The sequence below is a fragment of the Homo sapiens genome, chromosome 4 (genome assembly GCF_000001405.40).
Source record: "Homo sapiens chromosome 4, GRCh38.p14 Primary Assembly".
Taxonomy (NCBI): domain Eukaryota; kingdom Metazoa; phylum Chordata; class Mammalia; order Primates; family Hominidae; genus Homo; species Homo sapiens.
In genome coordinates this window covers 127,007,775-127,030,799 of record NC_000004.12, presented here as the reverse complement: position 1 = coordinate 127,030,799, position 23,025 = coordinate 127,007,775, and the positions used below count along the sequence as shown (strand labels likewise).

General features: G+C 37.2%; 1 annotated feature.

Annotated features, from left to right (window-relative positions):
• Nucleotides 9,937-10,482: an enhancer, noted in NCBI's record as "H3K27ac-H3K4me1 hESC enhancer chr4:127941473-127942018 (GRCh37/hg19 assembly coordinates)". NCBI's record gives its function as "activates a minimal SCP1, AML or CMV promoter by ChIP-STARR-seq in naive H9 embryonic stem cells {active_cell/tissue: H9 hESC(naive)}" and the evidence as "EXISTENCE:reporter gene assay evidence [ECO:0000049][PMID:30033119]".

The following is a 23,025-nucleotide window of genomic DNA, read 5'->3' as shown; positions in this document are numbered from 1 at the left end:
GAATTTGAAATCCAAAGACCAGCTGCATTAGACTCCTTTTATGCTGTTACATTTTTACAGCTCACGTTTATTTCTCCAGCTGTTGCCACAGCACTCAACTGGGGCAGGTGTAACCTGACAGATCCTCACTCTGGCTGAATTGAGTACCTGTCACCATGAGGCTTCTTAGCTGCCTCCAAGTCGAAGACCTTAGTAACCCACTCATCTCATCTGGTGTGTGCATAGCCCTGAAAGTGTGAAAAGTTAACACTGAGTTCTGAACCTTGGATTAATGGGGGACAAAAGCTGGCAAATAAATAATTCCCTCTTCTGTTCCTTGAATAGACAATTCTGAGATGCCTTCTCCACATTCCTTAGACATTATCCCGTGGGATAAGATCCTAGTTCTTTTCAGTGAGTACAGCTTGATCATAAATCCTTGGACTGGCTCCTCCTTCTGTTTTCATTATTCCAAGTCCCCTGTTCCTGCTTCTTAGGATCAATACTCAAAATGAACTACTTGCACACAAACGTTTTTCTTAGGCTCTGTTTTTATTGGGGGAAACACAGATTAAGACACTATTTTTGACATTTAATAAGTGTGCGAATGTGGAAAAGAAGACACTTCAAGTCAAGATGCACCCTAGATTGCCTGGGATCAAACTCAGGCTTTGTCAACGATTAAATGTATGACCTTAGACAAATTACTTTAATTCTTCGTATCTTGGTTTCCACACTTCCAAAATGGGTAGAAAGCTAGTACCTACATTATAAGTGTTGTCGTGAGGACTACATATAATATAAAGTAGTCCCTGACTCACGTTAGTGAGGCTAAAATTATTTCATTCATGCGAAGCACTTATGATAATGCTGGCATACTACTGGCTTAAGAGAGTGCACATTTATTATCGTACAGTATGGAGGTCAAGGTGTTGATAGGGCTGTCTTCCTTCTGGAGGTTCTAGGATGAACTCACTTCCTTGCTTCTCCTAGCTTCTGGTATTGCCCACATTCTTTGCCTTGGGGATCCTTCCCTGCAACACTGAACTCTGCTTCTCTTGTTACGTCTCCTTCTCTGACTCTTGAGTCTTCTGCCTCCCTCTTATTGGGCCCACCTGAATAATCTTCCCATCTCAAGAAATATATTTAATCTCCAAAGTCTTCTTTGCCATGCGAGGCAACATATTTACAGGTTCCAGGAATTATGATATAGATATGTTTGGGGAGCCATTGTTCTGTGTGAAACAAAGTGCTCAACAAAGTTGGCTTGATAAATGTCTCTAGGTCCCAATTACATTATCTATTAAAACCAGAATGATTACAATCAGAATGGCATGACTATGGTAAGATAAAACAAGAACCATCTCTATGTAGTATTTAGATTTGTATCATTACAAATTCATGCTTTAGAATTGGGCCTTCAATAATGCCTCTTAATCCTGTACTGTAATCATGGACAGCTCTAATAATACTTCATGTTAAGCTACTATAATCATGGACAGCCCTAATAATACTTCATGTTAAGCCCTGTACCCTGGTCATACTAAGAGATTTGTAGTTTCCCAGATGCTCATGATACTTAATGCCAGCCCTTACTGTGCTGTATTTTAACTGATTACTTCTCTTTCTCCCTTAGAAGACTACAAGATTCTTGAGGAGCCATGTCCTGTTTATCTGTGTGTGTCTCATATGCACATGAAAAAGTAATATTTCCTACTTTCTCTTGACTGATGGCGTTGCTGACAATTCATATGCACATGAGAGAAGGCTAAGCACATAGAAGAATACTTAAAGGATAGTTATTAACTCGGATATTATTCAATCTGTAACTATTGAAAGGGTCAATCATGAATCTTTTTGCATATAAACCCCTACACAGCAAAGATGTGACAATCAGTATCATATTGCAATTGTTTTAAATGTTTTGGTGGTAATATTTTGGATCAATGTGTCACAAGAAGTATTTTTTTTAAAGTATGTGAGCTGCAATTAACCCCTAAGTGCTGTGGGCAGAGCAGTTCGAAATCACCCAAGGTCAACTTTTCCCTGAGACGAGAAAGCAAATACAGAGCTGATGATCTCAGAATTTTATTGTGTGAGCACTGAAAAAAATACAAGTCCTTTGAAGTTTGAAGCCACTTATCGGGTAACATGCAAAAATGCAAGCAAATATCACTGTTGCACTCTTTATCTTTGTAGCAAAAATATGCAACTGTATTGGCAAATTAGGTGGTGCTCTTGGCAGTTTGGAATTTTGCTCAGAGTGCCTCAGGTGACATGAGGTTTTGATTATGCCCTGAAACTACCTGCCAGAATACTAGCAGTTTCCAATCCTAATTTTGTAATGAAATCGGGTGTGAATGTGAAGACTGCTGCAATGGATGCAGTACTATCAAATTTATATTTGACATTCATATGTTGTTTCTGGTTACACTAGTGACTTTCCCAATTTTCCTGCTCCTTGTCTGTAGGAAGGAAGCCATCACAGCACCATGACATTAGGCCAAGGCTCTCTTTCCCAAAGCTCAAATGGCATCTGTTGTAGGACACTGCAATATTTTGTGTGGGCCACAAATTCAAATTCAAGCCTTAATATCTCACAGCTGGTGTGAAAGTAGTGCGTTATCGAAATTGATTTTTCACAATCAGTTATTAATCGAACTCCTTGTTCTACCCTTTCCCCTCCTGTCACTACTGCAATTCACTAGTCTAAAATAGGGGCTTCATTTTACATTAGTGGTGTTGGTTGCTCAGTGGAATTGTGTTTATTATGGGAAAAATGTTTTTGTTTGCAATTATTCAAGATATGATATGTTCAGCTTTACAGAATCATTGAAACTTTAAGACACACTACTTAGGATTTAAGATGGCAAAACCAATTCACTAATTGGCCTTCTGTAATTTTCACAGTTTCTAAAATTTAAAATTTACGTACGAGCTGCTGTGATGGTTAATTTTCTTGTGTCATCTTGGGGAGGTTATGGTACCTAGTTGTTTGGTTAAACACCAGTCTAGATGTCACTTTAAGGGTAGTTTTTAGATGTGATTTACATTTAAATCAGTAGACTTTGAGTAAAGCAGATCACACTCTGTAATGTAGGTGGGCCTTGTATAATCAGGTCAAGGCCTTAAGAGAGAAAACTGAGATTCCTCTGAGAACGATGGAATTCTAGCTTCAGACTGCCTTAAGACTCAAGACTGCAACATCAACTTTTCCCTGTGTCTCCAGCCCTGGCCTGACTTGCAGACTTCGGACTTGCCAGACGTCAATCATCTGAGTCGATTCCTTAAAATAAATTTCTCTCTCTCTCTCTTTTGTTTCCCTGGGAACTCTGAATAATACAACAACCGACAGACTAAGAGAATCCACCAAGCAGGGTAAGGCAGAAAGGGAGAACAGGGCAGTTTTTGAGACGGAGTCTCGCTCTGTCGCCCAGGCTGTAGTGCAGTGGTGCAATCTCGGCTCACAGCAAGCTCCGCCTCCCGGGTTCATGCCATTCTCCTGCCTCAGCCTCCTGAGTAGCTGGGACTACAGGCGTCCACTACCACACCTGGCTAATTTTTTGTATATTTTAATAGAGACGGGGTTTCACCATGTTAGCCAGGATGGTCTTGATCTCCTGACCTCGTGATCGGCCAGCCTCGGCCTCCTAAAGTGCTGGGATTACAGGCATGAGCCACCGCACCTGGCCAAATTTCTACTTTTTAATTTAATATTTTGGCTGGATAATGCATACAGGTTAAAAATTTTTGAATGTACACAAAAAAGTAATGGGAATCGAATATCAGAGAGTTAAATATTATAGTATCTGGCAATAAGATGACTTTCCAAGATACTACTGTGAAATGCTGTAAATGTGCTACTGTATAGCTGTAGTGGAGAAATTAAGTATTATATTAGTTTTTTTCCAAAACAATTTTTTTTTATTTTATTATTATTATACTTTAAGTTTTAGGGTACATGTGCACAATGTGCAGGTTAGTTACATATGTATACATGTGCCATGCTGGTGTGCTGCACCCATTAACTCATCATTTAGCATTAGGTATATCTCCTAAAGCTATCCCTCCCCCTCCCCCACCCCGAAACAGTCCCCAGAGTATGATGTTCCCCTTCCTGTGTCCATGTGTTCTCATTGTTCAATTCCCACCTATGAGTAACAATATGCGGGTGTTTGGCTTTTTGTTCTTGTGATAGTTTACTGAGAATGATGATTTCCAATTTCATCCATGTCCCTACAAAGGACATGAACTCATCATTTTTTTTTTTTTTATTATACTTTAAGTTTTAGGGTACATGTGCCATGCTGGTGCGCTGCACCCACTAACGCGTCATCTAGCATTAGGTATATCTCCCAGTGCTATCCCTCCCCCCTCCCCCCACCCCACCACAGTCCCCAGAGTGTGATATTCCCCTTCCTGTGTCCATGTGATCTCATTGTTCAATTCCCACCTATGAGTGAGAATATGCGGTGTTTGGTTTTTTGTTCTTGCGATAGTTTACTGAGAATGATGGTTTCCAATTTCATCCATGTCCCTACAAAGGATATGAACTCATCATTTTTTATGGCTGCATAGTATTCCATGGTGTATATGTGCCACATTTTCTTAATCCAGTCTATCATTGTTGGACATTTGGGTTGGTTCCAAGTCTTTGGTATTGTGAATAATGCCGCAATAAACATACGTCTGCATGTGTCTTTATAGCAGCATGATTTATAGTCCTTTGGGTATATACCCAGTAATGGGATGGCTGGGTCAAATGGTATTTCTAGTTCTAGATCCCTGAGGAATCGCCACACTGACTTCCACAATGGTTGAACTAGTTTACAGTCCCACCAACAGTGTCAAAGTGTTCCTATTTCTCCACATCCTCTCCAGCACCTGTTGTTTCCTGACTTTTTAATGATTGCCATTCTAACTGGTGTGAGATGATATCTCATAGTGGTTTTGATTTGCATTTCTCTGACGGCCAGTGATGATGAGCATTTTTTCATGTGTTTTTTGGCTGCATAAATGTCTTCTTTTGAGAAGTGTCTGTTCATGTCCTTCGCCCACTTTTTGATGGGGTTGTTTGTTTTTTTCTTGTAAATTTGTTTGAGTGCATTGTAGATTCTGGATATTAGCCCTTTGTCAGATGAGTAGGTTGCGAAAATTTTCTCCAATGTTGTAGGTTGCCTGTTCACTCTGATGGTAGTTTCTTTTGCTATGCAGAAGCTCTTTAGTTTAATTAGATCCCATTTGTCAATTTTGTCTTTTGTTGCCATTGCTTTTGGTGTTTTGGACATGAAGTCCTTGCCCATGCCTATGTCCTGAATGGTAATGCCTAGGTTTTCTTCTAGGGTTTTTATGGTTTTAGGTCTAACGTTTAAATCTTTAATCCATCCTGAATTGATTTTTGTATAAGGTGTAAGGAAGGGATCCAGTTTCAGCTTTCTACATATGGCTAGCCAGTTTTCCCAGCACCATTTATTAAATAGGGAATCCTTTCCCCATTGCTTGTTTTTCTCAGGTTTGTCAAAGATCAGATAGTTGTAGGTATGCGGCATTATTTCTGAGGGCTCTGTTCTGTTCCATTGATCTATATCTCTGTTTTGGTACCAGTACCATGCTGTTTTGGTTACTGTAGCCTTGTAGTATAGTTTGAAGTCAGGTAGTGTGATGCCTGCAGCTTTGTTCTTTTGGCTTAGGATTGACTTGGCGATGCGGGCTCTTTTTTGGTTCCATATGAACTTTAAAGTAGTTTTTTCCAATTCTGTGAAGAAAGGCATTGGTAGCTTGATGGGGATGGCATTGAATCTGTAAATTACCTTGGGCAGTATGGCCATTTTCACGATATTGATTCTTCCTACCCATGAGCATGGAATGTTCTTCCATTTGTTTGTGTCCTCTTTTATTTCCTTGAGCAGTGGTTTGTAGTTCTCCTTGAAGAGGTCCTTCACATCCCTTGTAAGTTGGATCCCTAGGTATTTTATTCTCTTTGAAGCAATTGTGAATGGGAGTTCACTTATGATTTGGCTCTCTGTTTGTCTGTTGTTGGTGTATAAGAATGCTTGTGATTTTTGTACGTTGATTTTGTATCCTGAGACTTTGCTGAAGTTGCTTATCAGCTTAAGGAGATTTTGGGCTGAGACAATGGGGTTTTCTAGATATACAATCATGTCATCTGCCAACAGGGACAATTTGACTTCCTCTTTTCCTAATTGAATACCCTTTATTTCCTTCTCCTGCCTGATTGCCCTGGCCAGAACTTCCAACACTATGTTGAATAGGAGTGGTGAGAGAGGGCATCCCTGTCTTGTGCCAGTTTTCAAAGGGAATGCTTCCAGTTTTTGCCCATTCAGTATGATATTGGCTGTGGGTTTGTCATAGATAGCTCTTATTATTTTGAAATACGTCCCATCAATACCTAATTTATTGAGAGTTTTTAGCATGAAGGGTTGTTGAATTTTGTCAAAAGCTTTTTCTGCATCTATTGAGATAATCATGTGGTTTTTGTCTTTGGCTCTGTTTATATGCTGGATTACATTTATTGATTTGCGTATATTGAACCAGCCTTGCATCCCAGGGATGAAGCCCACTTGATCATGGTGGATAAGCTTTTTGATGTGCTGCTGGATTCGGTTTGCCAGTATTTTATTGAGGATTTTTGCATCAATGTTCATCAAGGATATTGGTCTAAAATTCTCCTTTTTGGTTGTGTCTCTGCCCGGCTTTGGTATGAGGATGATGCTGGCCTCATAAAATGAGTTAGGGAGGATTCCCTCTTTTTCTATTGATTGGAATAGTTTCAGAAGGAATGGTACCAGTTCCTCCTTGTACCTCTGGTAGAATTCGGCTGTGAATCCATCTGGTCCTGGACTCTTTTTGGTTGGTAAACTATTGATTATTGCCACAATTTCAGCTCCTGTTATTGGTCTATTCAGAGATTCAACTTCTTCCTGGTTTAGTCTTGGGAGAGTGTATGTGTCGAGGAATGTATCCATTTCTTCTAGATTTTCTAGTTTATTTGCGTAGAGGTGTTTGTAGTATTCTCTGATGGTAGTTTGTATTTCTGTGGGATTGGTGGTGATATCCCCTTTATCATTTTTTATTGTGTCTATTTGATTCTTCTCTCTTTTTTTCTTTATTAGTCTTGCTAGCCGTCTATCAATTTTGTTGATCCTTTCAAAAAACCAGCTCCTGGATTCATTGATTTTTTGAAGGGTTTTTTGTGTCTCTATTTCCTTCAGTTCTGCTCTGATTTTAGTTATTTCTTGCCTTCTGCTAGGTTTTGAATGTGTTTGCTCTTGCTTTTCTAGTTCTTTTAATTGTGATGTTAGGGTGTCAATTTTGGATCTTTCCTGCTTTCTCTTGTAGGCATTTAGTGCTATAAATTTCCCTCTACACACTGCTTTGAATGCGTCCCAGAGATTCTGGTATGTTGTGTCTTTGTTCTCGTTGGTTTCAAAGAACATCTTTATTTCTGCCTTCATTTCGTTGTGTACCCAGTAGTCATTCAGGAGCAGGTTGTTCAGTTTCCATGTAGTTGAGCGGCTTTGAGTGAGATTCTTAATCCTGAGTTCTAGTTTGATTGCACTGTGGTCTGAGAGATAGTTTGTTATAATTTCTGTTCTTTTACATTTGCTGAGGAGAACTTTACTTCCAAGTATGTGGTCAATTTTGGAATAGGTGTGGTGTGGTGCTGAAAAAAATGTATATTCTGTTGATTTGGGGTGGAGAGTTCTGTAGATGTCTATTAGGTCCGCTTGGTGCAGAGCTGAGTTCAATTCCTGGGTATCCTTGTTGACTTTCTGTCTCGTTGATCTGTCTAATGTTGACAGTGGGGTGTTAAAGTCTCCCATTATTAATGTGTGGGAGTCTAAGTCTCTTTGTAGGTCACTCAGGACTTGCTTTATGAATCTGGGTGCTCCTGTATTGGGTGCATAAATATTTAGGATAGTTAGCTCCTCTTGTTGAATTGATCCCTTTACCATTATGTAATGGCCTTCTTTGTCTCTTTTGATCTTTGTTGGTTTAAAGTCTGTTTTATCAGAGACTAGGATTGCAACCCCTGTCTTTTTTTGTTTTCCATTTGCTTGGTAGATCTTCCTCCATCCTTTTATTTTGAGCCTATGTGTGTCTCTGCACGTGAGATGGGTTTCCTGAATACAGCACACTGATGGGTCTTGACTCTTTATCCAACTTGCCAGTCTGTGTCTTTTAATTGGAGAATTTAGTCCATTTATATTTAAAGTTAATATTGTTATGTGTGAATTTGATCCTGTCATTATGATGTTAGCTGGTGATTTTGCTCGTTAGTTGATGCAGTTTCTTCCTAGTCTCGATGGTCTTTACATTTTGGCATGATTTTGCAGCGGCTGGTACCGGTTGTTCCTTTCCATGTTTAGCGCTTCCTTCAGGAGCTCTTTTAGGGCAGGCCTGGTGGTGACAAAATCTCTCAGCATTTGCTTGTCTGTAAAGTATTTTATTTCTCCTTCACTTATGAAGCTTAGTTTGGCTGGATATGAAATTCTGGGTTGAAAATTCTTTCCTTTAAGAATGTTGAATATTGGCCCCTACTCTCTTCTTGCTTGTAGGGTTTCTGCCGAGAGATCCGCTGTTAGTCTGATGGGCTTCCCTTTGAGGGTAACCCGACCTTTCTCTCTGTCTGCCCTTAACATTTTTTCCTTCATTTCAACTTTGGTGAATCTGACAATTATGTGTCTTGGAGTTGCTCTTCTCGAGGAGTATCTTTGTGGCGTTCTCTGTATTTCCTGAATCTGAACGTTGGCCTGCCTTGGTAGATTGGGGAAGTTCTCCTGGATAATATCCTGCAGAGTGTTTTCCAACTTGGTTTCATTCTCCACATCAGTTTCAGGTACACCAATCAGACGTCGATTTGGTCTTTTCACATAGTCCCATATTTCTTGTAGGCTTTGCTCATTTCTTTTTATTCTTTTTTCTCTAAACTTTCCTTCTTGCTTCATTTCATTCATTTCATCTTCCATTGCTGATACCCTTTCTTCCAGTTGATCTCATCAGCTCCTGAGGCTTCTGCATTCTGCACGTAGTGCTCGAGCCTTGGTTTTCAGCTCCATCAGCTCCTTTAAGCACTTCTCTGTATTGGTTATTCTAGTTATACATTCTTCTAAATTTTTTTCAAAGTTTTCAACTTCTTTTCCTTTGGTTTGAATGTCCTCCCGTAGCTCAGAGTAATTTGATCGTCTGAAGCCTTCTTCTCTCAGCTCGTCAAAATCATTCTCCATCCAGCTTTGTTCCGTTGCTGGTGAGGAACTGCGTTCCTCTGGAGGAGGAGAGGCGCTCTGCATTTTAGAGTTTCCAGTTTTTCTGTTCTGTTTTTTCCCCATCTTTGTGGTTTTATCTACTTTTGGTCTTTGATGATGGTGATGTACAGATGGGTTTTCGGTATGGATGTCCTTTCTGGTTGTTAGTTTTCCTTCTAACAGACAGGACCCTCAGCTGCAGGTCTGTTGGAATGCCGTGCCGTGTGAGGTGTCAGTCTGCCCCTGCTGGGGGGTGCCTCCCAGTAAGGCTGCTCGGGGGTCAGGGGTCAGGGACCCACTTGAGGCAGTCTGCCGGTTCTCAGATCTCCAGCTGCCTGCTGGGAGAACCACTGCTCTCTTCAAAGCTGTCAGACAGGGACATTTAAGTCTGCAGAGGTTACTGCTGTCTTTTTGTTTGTGTGTGCCCTGCCCCCAGAGGTGGAGCCTACAGAGACAGGCAGGCCTCCTTGAGCTGTGGTGGGCTCCACCCAGTTCGAGCTTCCTGGCTGCTTTGTTTACCTAAGCAGGCCTGGGCAATGGCGGGCGCCCGTCCCCCAGCCTCGCTGCCGCCTTGCAGTTTGATCTCAGACTGCTGTGCTAGCAATCAGCGAGATTCCGTGGGCGTAGGACCCTCTGAGCCAGGTGTGGGATATAGTCTCGTGGTGCACCGTTTTTTAAGCCGGTCTGAAAAGCGCAATATTCGGGTGGGAGTGACCCGATTTTCCAGGTGAGTCCATCACCCCTTTCTTTGACTCGGAAAGGGAACTCCCTGACCCCTTGCGCTTCCCAGGTGAGGCAATGCCTCGCCCTGCTTCGGCTTGCACACGGTGCGCGCACACACTGGCCTGCACCCACTGTCTGGCACTCCCTAGTGAGATGAACCCGGTACCTCAGATGGAAATGCAGAAATCACCCGTCTTCTGCGTCGCTCACGCTGGGAGCTGTAGACCGGAGCTGTTCCTATTCGGCCATCTTGTCTCCTCCCCGAACTCATTTTTTATGGCTGCATAGTATTCCGTGGTGTATATGTGCCACATTTTCTTAATCCAGTCTATCATTGTTGGACATTTGGGTTGGTTCCAAGTCTTTGCTATTGTGAATAGTGCCACAATAAACATACGTCTGCATGTGTCTTTATAGCAGCATGATTTATAGTCCTTTGGGTATATACCTAGTAATGGGATGGCTGGGTCAAATGGTATTTCTAGTTCTAAATCCCTGAGGAATCGCCACACTGACTTCCACAATGGTTGAACTAGTTTACAGTCCCACCAACAGTGTTAAAGTGTTCCTATTTCTCCACATCCTCTCCAGCACCTGTTGTTTCCTGACTTTTTAATGATTGCCATTCTAACTGGGGTGAGATGGTATCTCATTGTGGTTTTGATTTGCATTTATTCATTTCAGCTAGAGGGGTAAAGAACACACACATTCATTTATTCAATTGTATGTATAAATTTAAAAAGAATAGTTTTATGAGTATTGGACTATAGTTAATTCAGGTTTAGTGAGAGAAATTTTGTAAAAAAAGATTTTGTTTTTAGATAATGGAGAGTAAGAGGTAAATAAATATTTATGGATGTATAAGATATAAAAACAATACTGTAGCAAACAGTTAAGTGAGTGAATTTGGGAGCTAGGTTTGGATTCTAGCTATGCTACTTGACAGTATTGAGCATCATAAGTTTACTTAACCTTCTCATCTACAAAGCAAGGATAAGTACGGTAAGTAATACTAGAGGATCTTGAATATTAAATGGATCACCATGTGTGAAGACAATAGAATATTGGCTAGCACATACTAAATGTTCAGTAAAATAATGGTTCTCCTTACATCTTTGTACAGCTTTTAACACAAAATAAAAAAATTCAAAGGCTGGAAACAGGTTATTTTAATTTAGTCTGAATATTTTAAAAATGTTTAGCTAAAGCTGACAGTCCTGACATACTCTGTGAAAGTCATATTTGTGCTACATTGTCTAGAACTAGAAATGGAAGTATCAAATTGTATTGCATAAATCTTTCTTCATAAGCCTTTAAATCTGATTTTTTAAACTGTTAAAATTTTATAATTCCATTTTGGAATCCTAATCCATGTTGTTTTAATTGTTTATGAAATGCTAAATATGCACAGCTGCTATAAGGAAGACTGAAATAAAAATAAAGGAGATTGAGTACAATTCTCAAAATGCATTGGAACTCAGAGACATTAAAAATAAATTTGTTCAGGCTGGGTGTGGTGTCATACATGTTAATCTCAAGACTTTGGGAGGCTAAGATGGAAGGACTACTTGAGGCCAGCCTGGGCAACATAGTGAGACCCCAGCTCTATAAAAAATTGAGGAAACAATTAGCCAGGTGTGGTGGTGTGCAGCTGTAGTCCTAACTGCTTGGGAGGCTGAGGCAAGAGGATTGCTTGAGCCCAGGAGGTCAAGGCTGCAGTGAGCTATGATTGTGCCACTGCACTACAGCTTGGGTGACAGAGTGAGACCCTGTCTCAGAAAATAAAAATAGTAAATAAATCTGTTTGGAGATAGAAACATAATCTAGGTGTTAATATATTTCTCTCTTTATACTCAACACACACTGTATTTATGAACCTTCGTTCATCCTTTCATATCAGAATCCTCATGTATTTAGAATGCATTTTTGTTTCTGTACATTTTTGCAGAAATTACTGCATGCAAATGAGGGTGAATAATGCTATGTTCTGTTTTCATTTCTTACTAAGGACCTATAAGGCCAGAATACCCTAATGTGAATTACATCACCAATAGTACATTTAAAAAGTATATTTTGCCCCATGATGACCACTTATTGGTCTGACAATTTCACTTCATCCTTCTTCTTGACCATCTCTTGAATGGACCCAGTGTTTATGCCGGAATAATTTTCTTTGGCCAGATCAACTATGCATGTATAATTCTTCGTATAGGACTTCCTGCCATCTGTTTCAGATTTTATTTCCCATGTATGCTTTCTTGTTCCATCATCTGTATTAGTTTGGAACTAATTCTTGAGTAAGAAGTAATGTCCTTTCCTGAATCTGTTCTGAATTGCCAGGGGGTTGGGTATTTGAAAAACTTCTTATGTTAAAAAAAAAAAGAGAGAAAAGAAAAGAAAATAGTGAGCACTGTGACTATTAGTTAAAATTATTCTACATTGACTATTTTATGCTGAATTATCTTTCAGATTTATGTTCACTTGGTTTTAGACAGTGTTTACTAACATTGACCTAATTTGAAAGTCAATGTCTGTTTAAGAATATACAGGAGAATTACATGATTGCAATATTTCATAGCCATGGTGAGTTCACAGAGGGAAATTTGGAACTTATACTCAGATGTTTCATAAAGAACCATTTTATATCTATTAATGGGAAAAAAAAGCTGATAACCAAGGTTTTCTTCACCCTCCCTCTAAGAGAAAAACACAACATATTGTGGTATCTGCTTATAAGCAGAGAGGAGTAATAGATGACTGGTAGTTTCTTCACCTTTGCCTGTGGCATTTTTATCAAGAAATGAGACCAACCTTAGTGATTAGCCATGAGCATGAAGGGTAACTGGGCATTAGCAAGTCTATACTTCTTACTGAGTTATAGGTTAGCACACTAGTTATAGAAGTTTCCAGGTCAGTTTTTTGCAGTCTGTTCAGCTTCAGGAGACTTTTGGGGAAGTTTTACAGGATGCCAGTAAGTTTATGGCTTGAAGACTCGATGGATGTCTTTGTCTGCCTGAGTAAATTGGGAAATAATGAAAGCCAAGGACAGCATGTCCTTTGCAATTACCAGAAGCACTGATTGCTGGATATACTGGGATTTTCAGGAGGAGAGAGGAGTGAGAAGGATGCGAGCACATCCTTAGTCTTCTCTCTCTGAAAGGATGCCTCAGACTTTTGAGTAGAAGACGACACTTCCTCAGAGTAATTAATTTAAGTTTTACATCCTAATTTCAAAAGAAAATTAAAGATAACTTACACTCAAGGACATGTTAATTTTTTGCTAAAGTTGAACTGTAATAAAAAATTTTTATTAGCTATAGTCAGGTTTTTTGGGAATTTTCTGAACACATTCAAAATGTTCTACAATGTTTAAGACACCTGGATAAGAAGGAAACCTGAACAGTCAGTTTGGACTGTTTATGAGCCCCTGAACAGCAGAGAGTGCTGGTGAACCCAGGGCAACAATCTGATTGTCCCATGCAGGCATAGCTTCTGTAACCTAAAATCATGGCCATTTTGGAAGTAGAACCAATTTAGAAACAAAGGGATTCAGCCACCTCTGTTTCAATTAACTATATTGTGATATCTGAAGTGTCATTGTTTTCTAGTTAACAATGTGGATTTTTAAGAAAACACATTCATTAAGAGCATATATGACACCAAGCAGTGTGGTCTTGTTCATGAAACCTATTTCCTAGTAGAAAAAATAAGATTATCTTTGTTCTTGTATAATGTAAGAATTTCTCAGTAGTAAAGCCATCAACTCTAAGAAATGTTTAATTATTTCTGCATTAATTTTAATGAAATGTGCCACATTATAACCTATTTCTATACTCTTGACTGCTCCATCATTGAAAAACACTTTTTTTAAAAAAATGAGTTTTTCCTCCCTGTGCATAATTTGCTTAGCATATTAAACATACATTTTGTCACACCTCTGCTGTTACAGGATGCTTTCTTTGTTATGCAAAAGGGATTGAATGCTAAAATGATAAAACTGCTTTATGTAATTCAGCAAAAAATTTATCTATTTGTGTTTGGCTTAGGTGTCTTTAGAATAAATCAACAAGACATGCTACATGTGTAATTATTTCAGAAAATAAAACAGCCTTAATATTGTTCTCTCTATTCTCTTTCCTGTACAATTTCAACTGTTTCTAAGTTTCATAAACTGGGAGGCATAAACAGTTAAGTGTCTGCCTACAGGGTTATAGTCTTATTGGAACTCTCATAACTAATGTATATAGAAGGGCTCCTAAGTACTTATATACTGCTAATGGTTGTGAGCTAGAGGAGTGTTATAACAAGATTTGTACATATATGAGTACGTGTGTGTATATATATATACGGTACATATATGATATATATTATATTTATTTTTTCAGCTTTGCTGAAGTTACTAATGACATTTGTAATGTGATGAAGGGAGAATATACTATGCGCTGCTTTCCATAATGGCTAAGATAAATGACTATTACTTATAGTCCTCAAATGCAAGCCATCCCAATCCGAAAGCAGCTCTGCAGAAGAGGAATGCGCACCTCATTTTGGGGCAAAGAATTATGCAGAATGTGCTCAAGACACCTGCAGAAAATTAAAGACTTTACTTCTCTGTATGTGAAATTCTCATGAGGTAATTACCCTCAGTGTCAGACATAATACTGCTCCCATTAGATGGAACACATCGAGGGAAAATTGAATAGACTTTTTGTCGGGAGTGCTCCTAAGGATTAATAGGGCTGTCTACAGCAGTAATTGGAAGGTTTCCCTCCACTTTGCATGCAACCATCCTCACTTGTGTCTTTCAGGTTTATTATTAGGCCATTGCCATTCTATTTACCATGGAGGCTCAAGCGTCTTCCTTGTTAACGTCTCCTGCCAGCACCTTTGTTTCTTTGGAATGGGCTGCTGCCTTTAACCACTTCCCCTTTTGTGCTGGCCTTGCCTTGCCTCCCTTTATGTCTCTGCCTGGTCACAGTGCCAAGAGCTGGCAGGAAAGCAGCTCCTTTTCCATGCATCGCAAAGATGAAAGTGACCAAATAGGGCTTGATCAGCTAAAGCATCTCACTTTGTTCGAGGCCTCTTTCATCCTTCAGGGAACTTCCTCAGCAGGGCTGGAGCTGAAAGCTAATCTTTCTGACTGTGTTTTGGCATCTGTAACGCCAATATCCAGTTTATAGATCTATACAGCGAGTGGTCTCTTTGTTTGGATTTTTAGTATGTCTCTAATTATTGCATATGATTTCTGAGTTAAAAGGAGATTCAGAAATCTGCATCATATTATTTTCTTTACTTCTCTAGCATATGGGGCCATATTAAAAAGATTCATACTTGTCATGCATTGTATTATATTATTCAGTGATAGTGTTCTGGCTTAGGTTAAACTGAAAGTAGACATAAAAGGACTGGATATAGAATCAGGTTGCTGTATGTTAGAATAACTGATTCAGGTGTGTGGTGAAGGGTGTGTGTGTGTTTTCTCAGGAGGACACAGGGAGATTGGGATGAGGAATGAGGAAGGGGAATATTTATGTGGGCTAACGATTTGAGATTTTCCTTTTTAGGTATTGCATTTGGAGCTAGAGATTTTAGTTTATTAACTTTGCCTTTCAATGCATTTTTGCTGGCTCTTGTATTAAATGAAAAATACAAGAATAAAAAGTTTTCTGCCAATGAAAAAACCCAATTTGATGAATTGTGCTGAAATAAATCAATGAAAATAAAGAGACACCGTTTGTGTCCTCGCTTTATTCTTAGGGGTCAGTTTAGTGACTCAATATTTGAAACCACTCTGAATTTGAGTTGACTTTTGAGAACTTAGAAATATTAGTTTACCATTGCTGAAATATCAATTTAAATATATTTTAGATTAATTTTAAATACACTACCTTTTCTATTTAGAACTTAAAGAAAAAAATTCTGGTCAATTCTCAGTATCTTCTATTTGTGTGTTTTTATTCTTCTTAGTAGATAATAAAGTCCTTAAGGGTACTGTCTGATCTCACTTCTGTATAGCTCCTGCTTTCTTAGCACAGCCAACTTTCAATAAATATCTGTTAAATAGAACCCTCCAAAGTAAATTGTTTTTGTGAGACTAAGGGTAAAAAATAAAATGTAAATAATGGCTAAGAAAAATTTTTGTTTTAAATATTGACCATGCAATTTTTTTAAGGTTTAGTAAAATTATCATCTCTTAATATATAATACTGTTTTTGTAGCTAATTTCATTCATGTGTGAAATAACAGAAATAATTATTACATGATTATGTGTAATTATATAATAATTTAATTGATTATAACAAAATTATAAAATATATGTTCACTATATAAAATATATACACATGTAAACTATCTTTTATATATGGAATATATAATTATACATTATGATTAATTATAATACAGTTATAACATATTTTAAATATATAAATATATAAAATTATTAAAAATGAGTTGCAAAATATGATGAAATTAGTATAATGTAAAAATATATAAGCACATATATTTAATATTTAATTTATATATGTATATAAAATCAATACAGTTATGCTCCAGTTAGAGAGCAAAACAAGGACATTTAAGTTTAGAAACTGATAAGAAATCTTTATTGTAATCAATGGATTAAATAGAGAAAGTTCTTGCTATGTGTTTTAATATAATTTAATATTTTCAATTCAGACACAGAAGTACCAAATGTATAATACAATGCTTCATACATACTAACTGCTTAATAAAAATGACAGCTACTACCACTATTTTCTTTAAGTTGAGTCTGCTCTCGCTCTGTTGCCTAGTCTGGAGTGCAACTCACTGTAACCTTGAACTCCTGAGCTCAAGCGATCTACCTGCCCCAGCCTTCCAAGTAGCCAGGACTACAGGTATGAGTCAAGGTCCCTGGCCAATCAGTATCCTTGTTACTATGTTTAAGCATCTGTCATGGAGAAGATCCTACAATAGATTATTAAAAAAAATTCCACTTTTATTTTAGATTCATGGGGTACATGTGCAAGTTTGTTAAATGGGTATATTGCATGATGCTGTGGTTTGGGGTATGATTGATCCTGTCACTCAGATAGTATAGTACACAATAGGTTTTCAACCACTCCTTCCCTTTCCTCTCTAGTAGTCCCCAGTGTCTGTTGTTGCCATTTCTATGTCCATGAGTACCCAGTGTTTAGCTCCCATTTATAAGTGAGAACATGCGGTGCTTGGTTTTCTGTTCCTGCATCAATTTGCTTAGGATAATGGGCTCCAGCTGCAGTCATTGCTTCTGCAAAGGACATGATCTCATTCTCTTTATGGCTGTGCAGTATTCCATGGTGTATATGTACCACATTTTCTTTATCCAATCCACTATAGATGGGCACCGTGGGTTGATTCCATGTCTTTGGTGTTGCAACATTAGACTTTAACTTATGCTCAGAATATGTCCTGGCTCAGTCCTGTACTATCTTTGTGAGCTCAATTTTTTTTTTATTTCTGAAATTAAAATTTTCTACCTCTAAGGGTATGTGAAATCATTTGAAAATTGTAATATTTTGTATAAATGAAGAATATTATTATTTTGAGAACGTTATTTTCCGCCTCATTTCTAGAACTACATCTGTAGTGTAAACCAGTTGCCTATGGAGCACATCCTACTCGTCTACCTATTCTAAGATTCTGCTGATCTGTGGCTGATAGACTTTTGACCAGAATATACCACGACATATCATGTGAAATGTCAGCTGTAAAATTTATGGGACTGATTCAGACAAAGTTTTGTTCCTCAAAGCACCTACATTTGTGAAATTTCGTCCTCTCAACTAAATGCTGGTAGAGGAGCCAGACTGACAGCAATCCAAGGTAAAACCACTCTGTTATACTGGATGTAATGATATTTACCAGCTGGCCTTGGCCTGGAGCCTTCTGTTCCTACCTGGATAGGGCCACTGCAGGCCATGAATGGGCTGTTCAGTCTCCAGACCCTCTTGCTTTCTGGCTCCCTAGCAGATTTTAAGCAAAAGCCTAATTAGTAGTGGTGACACCTGCCCACCAAGGAATGATGGAAGGCCATCAGCTCATGGCTCAATGATCACCAAATGTGTAGTAAGTTGTGAAAATATTTGGTCATGACTCATTCACCACTTGGACAAGGTTCAAAGTGAGGAAAACTCAAATGTAAGAGACCTTATATCCATTTCTAGTTTCATCAAATGTCCAGCTGCCTTCTCTGAATAAAATCCATACTACCACCAAAAAAAGTAACTCTTTAACCCTCTGGAATTTGGGTCTTTTGGATGATTTTTTTTTATTATTGTACACACTTACATAAAGAATTGTTCTTTTATTATAACACATCTCTATGTATGTGTTTATTACATGACAGCAGTAAAAGATTAGTACATTTTTAAGTGCATTTATGTTAGAATATTATTTTCTTCTCTATTTTTCACACAAATGAAACATCATTTATGAAAACACAGGGTAAACTTTTTCCCTCATGAGTACTTGCAAACTGAAGTTAGTTATTTTTATTTGCTTTTTTAAGAAAAATACCTATTTTTCCCTCTATCTGTGTTTTTTGGAATCTTTAATGTATTATATTTTTGGAGGCAACATAAACTGGCATGTAGAAAGCAGTGTGCCAATTTTTTTAACACTTCGTTGAATAATTTCTTAATCCTTTCCACCTACTCCTCTGCTTTTTGCCTATTTAGAGCCCTTTTTTTTGGTAATTTTCGCCCTCATAATAGTTTTGTTAGATTTTTTTTCTTTTCTTCCTGGCTCAGTGATTATTTACCACTTCCCTACCTTATGTTGAGGTATTGAAATCATAATGTTCAAATGATCAGATAAAATTCATTGGTTAATTTTTTTCATCAACGATTTCCTATTTTTAAGGCATATGATATTTTCTTTAAAGAGATTTGGAAAATACACTATACATACAAAGGAGTACGTGAAATGCATACATGTACTGTAAAATTACAACAAATAAAATTAACATCCATGTGTCCACTATCTAGCTTAAGAAATAAAACATGATCGTGATAGCAGTGTATCCCTCTGAGATCACATTCCTTTCCCTTTCTATATTTTATGTCCAACCACATGTATATAACCTAAGAGTAGGATTAATTTATTGATATTGAATTTTATGAAAATCAAATAATAACACATGATATATGTATTCTATGCCTTGCATATGTTGCTTAATATTGAGATTCATTTTTATTGATTTATAAAGTACTATGTCATTTCTTTTCATCACTTTAGATGATTTCAGTATATTAATATACAGTAAGTTATTTTCTCACTTCTCATATCACACATAACTGTATGAAAACAATAGTACAACACACTTTGTTGAGCATTTGTTTTGGTAAACATTTGTGATTGTTGTTGTTCGGAACAATGTTGCTATGCATTTTCTTACATAAATCTTCTAATATATAAATATAAAATATTTTAGTAGTAGAATTACAAGGCTGCAGCATACACACATGTTCAACTTTATGTGACAAATAGTTTTTGAAGGGGTTGCACCAATTTACATGTACACTGGCAGTGACTAAGAGTTCTTCTTGTCCCATATTTTTACTAAAATTGACACTGACTTACTTTAAAATTTTGCATGAAATTGTATCTCATTGAGGTTTGAAATTGTATTTCCTAATTACTGATGAGGATGCAGGTTTTAACAAGTTTATGGTTCATTTGGCTTTCCTCTTTTGTGTAATGCTTGTTTATGTCTATTGCAATTTTTACTTGAGGTTATGTGTCTTTTTCTTACTGATTAAAAATAACTTTTATGTATCCTAAATGCTAATCCTTGTTATTTATAGATACAGCAAATATTTTCATTCAGGTGGTAGCTTGTCTTTTTATTCTCTTCATGGTGTATTTTAAGAAACAGAAGTTCTTAATTTTAATGTAGCTAAATATATCAATCTTTTTCTTTATGTTCATATCGTTTGTGTCTTGTTAACAAATCTTTTCTTACCTGAAGTTCATTAAGATACTATTCTATTTGACAAATTAGAGGTTTATAGATTTTTCTTTATAAAAAGAAAGTACTTCATGTATCTAGAATTTAAGATTACTATAGAGTGTGAGGTAAAGTTCATATCTTCTTTTTTCATATGAATAATAACTCTCCCAACATTTTTATTGAATAGTTAATCCTTTCCTTACCAATCTGCAATGTCAGCTTTGTTAAGACTCATTTATATATGCTTGGCTTTATCTCTATTATTTCTATGTCTATCCACTCATATTATTTCTATATACTTACACCTCTTATCTATTCTATTTATGATATAATGTCTTAATATTTGACAAGGCATGACATCTGACCTTTTTATATTTTAGGCATATTTCTGCTGTTTTTAAGCCTTAGGAATGCCATGTGGATTTTAGAATTACCTTTTTATATTCATAGAAAAGCTCTATTCAGATTTTGCTGGAATCGCATTTAATGTATAGGTTGATTTAACAGAATGTGCATTTAAGTGATTCTTGGTGTTCCTATATGAAAGCATCATATACCTTTCCAAATAGAGAAGATTTTCAAAAATATCTTTCAAAGAAGATTTATAATTTTCTTCACACATATTTTTTGTTAGACTTATTCTTTTACATTTCTTTTGTGGCCTTAAAGTGATACCTTCGTACATATTTTTTAATTGGAAAATACTATACACCAACCAACAAACAAAAAGTGCACAAAACATAAAGTTTAGCTTTTTATTTGAAAAGCTTCATTTTATTAGTTGAAATACAAACAACCATGTAGCTATATACCAGGTTAAAAAATAGAACATTGGTAGCTTTCTAGAAGCCCTGTTTATGTGTTTTCCTAGCCTTGTGTTTTCCTAGCTGGTGTTTCCTTCCAGCTACCACCCGCTCTCTCTCTTCTCCTTCATAGTTAAACATATGAAAAGCATTGCCTAAATCTGCTACTTCACTTTGTTTCTTCACTAATTTCTCAACCTTCTGCAGTATGGCTTCTGCCCCCACCCCAGCTGCCATCACCACAATTGGCAATGACAATAAATCTATGGAACACATTTTAGGTTATATGTATTTTTTCTTAGTACGATATAATTGACCATTCTTTTGTTTATGAAACCTTCTCTTTGCTCTCTCATGATCAAACACTCAACACACTGTATCCAATCTACTTAAGCCACATCTTCTTAAACTTTTGTTGTTGTTTCGCAAAATTCTCATGCTCTACCTAGTGGATTCCATTTTAGGCCCTTCCTCTCTGACTCTAAATATGCAACCTGGGGAATCTCATCCACTCCAATTCTAGCAACCACTATCAGCAGACTGAAAAGTCATCTTTATCTCCAGTCTCCTGGCCTCAGGTGGGCCTATCCAGCTGCATGTTCTACATGTCACCTGGATGATCCTCAGGTACTAGACAGTCAGTATGTTCTACACTGAACTCATCACTTTTTTCTCCCTAACCCGTTACCACTCCATGGTCCCAGTCAGAGCAAATGCCACCACATTCATTTCGTTTCATTTCATTTCATTTCCACTAACATTACCGTAGATCAGCCTCCATCATCTCCTCCCTGAATTTCTATACCAGCTTCCTAAGTAGTCTCAGTACCTCCAGTCTACTTTTCTTCTGTGCAGCCAGAGTAGTCTTTATACAGAAAAGCATTATTTTCTCATTTTTTATTTAAAACATATAATTTCTCCCTGTTTATCTCAATTAAAAAAACACAAAGAGTAATGAAACTTTTTACATGGCCAACACGGCCATGCATGACCTGGCATTGTCTCCTCTTTCCATTCTCTCTTTATTTCCCCTTTATAAAATTTCCTACCATGATCGTCAGGTCTGACCATAGTAGATATCACCTTCCATGGTAGGCTTTCCAGGAGACAGTCTCCATCTCCACTCCATCGTCATATCATGTTGCTTCCCTAACATGCTATGTTTCCTTTATCCTAGAACCCTGTTGTTGTTAGAAGTTTACTCGTCTGAATCTCCTCTTCATTTAGCTCTGTGAGTAGGATTGCAATTTTTTTTTAACAAAAATAATAACACTACAGTTTAAACTACTTTAAAAAATGTCATTCTATAGGAAATTCATTGACAATAATCTATATTATATCTGTGTTTTGCATTAGTTTGCATTGCCTGATTGTATATCATCATATAGTATACTTTATCTGGGGAGAGAAACTCTTATAGTCTGATATTTTTTCTTTATCTATAAATTCAAATATGAGTTCAAAATTTGCATTTGGCAAACTTTTCCTGAAAATAGATCAATGTCCATTTGTTTATTTTTGTGTACCAAGTGTCTAGCATGGGTACTTATTAAATAAGTGTTGAGTGAGTGAATGAATGAGATAATGTAGGAGAGGAAAACAAAATAATTGTGTTAATATTTATCTGGGGAAATTATGTGGATTACTATATATTTATAAAAATCAAACATACAGCAATAACTTGTTTATTACTGACCTCCTTTTCAAAATAGCAACTTAGTGAAAGTCTCACTTTTGAAAGAAGTTATTTTATGTAAGAATAGACATTTTTCACTTTTTATGATCAAGCTGTCCCTTTTTTCTTGCAATAATATTTATATAAAATTTCTTCCTTCATCATGCTAGGCATGCACCACCTCTGCCTCTACCTACCTCTGTTTGACAGGGATTACTACTGAGGCAACTGTAAATATTATCTGGATCCGTGGTAGGCAAACCTTATCTGCAAAGGATCAGATAGTAAATATTTTTTTAGTTTTGCAGGCCCCAGCATCTCTTTGCCGCTACTCAAATTTTGCTGTGGGAAAGCAGCCATAGACGATATGTAAGTAAGTGGGTGTGGTTGTGTTCCAATAAAATTTGTTTACAAAAGCTACCTGCAGGATACATTGGCCCATGGACCATAGTTTGCCAATACCAGCTGTAAAGGAAATATTAAAGGGAGGTGAAAGTTTTGAGAGCAAGCCTAAATTAGAGCTCTGCTGTATATTTCCAGTCATTATTCTTCTTTTATAAAGAGCAGGTAAATGTGAACAGCAAGTCCTACATCGTGGGAAGGAGGGAA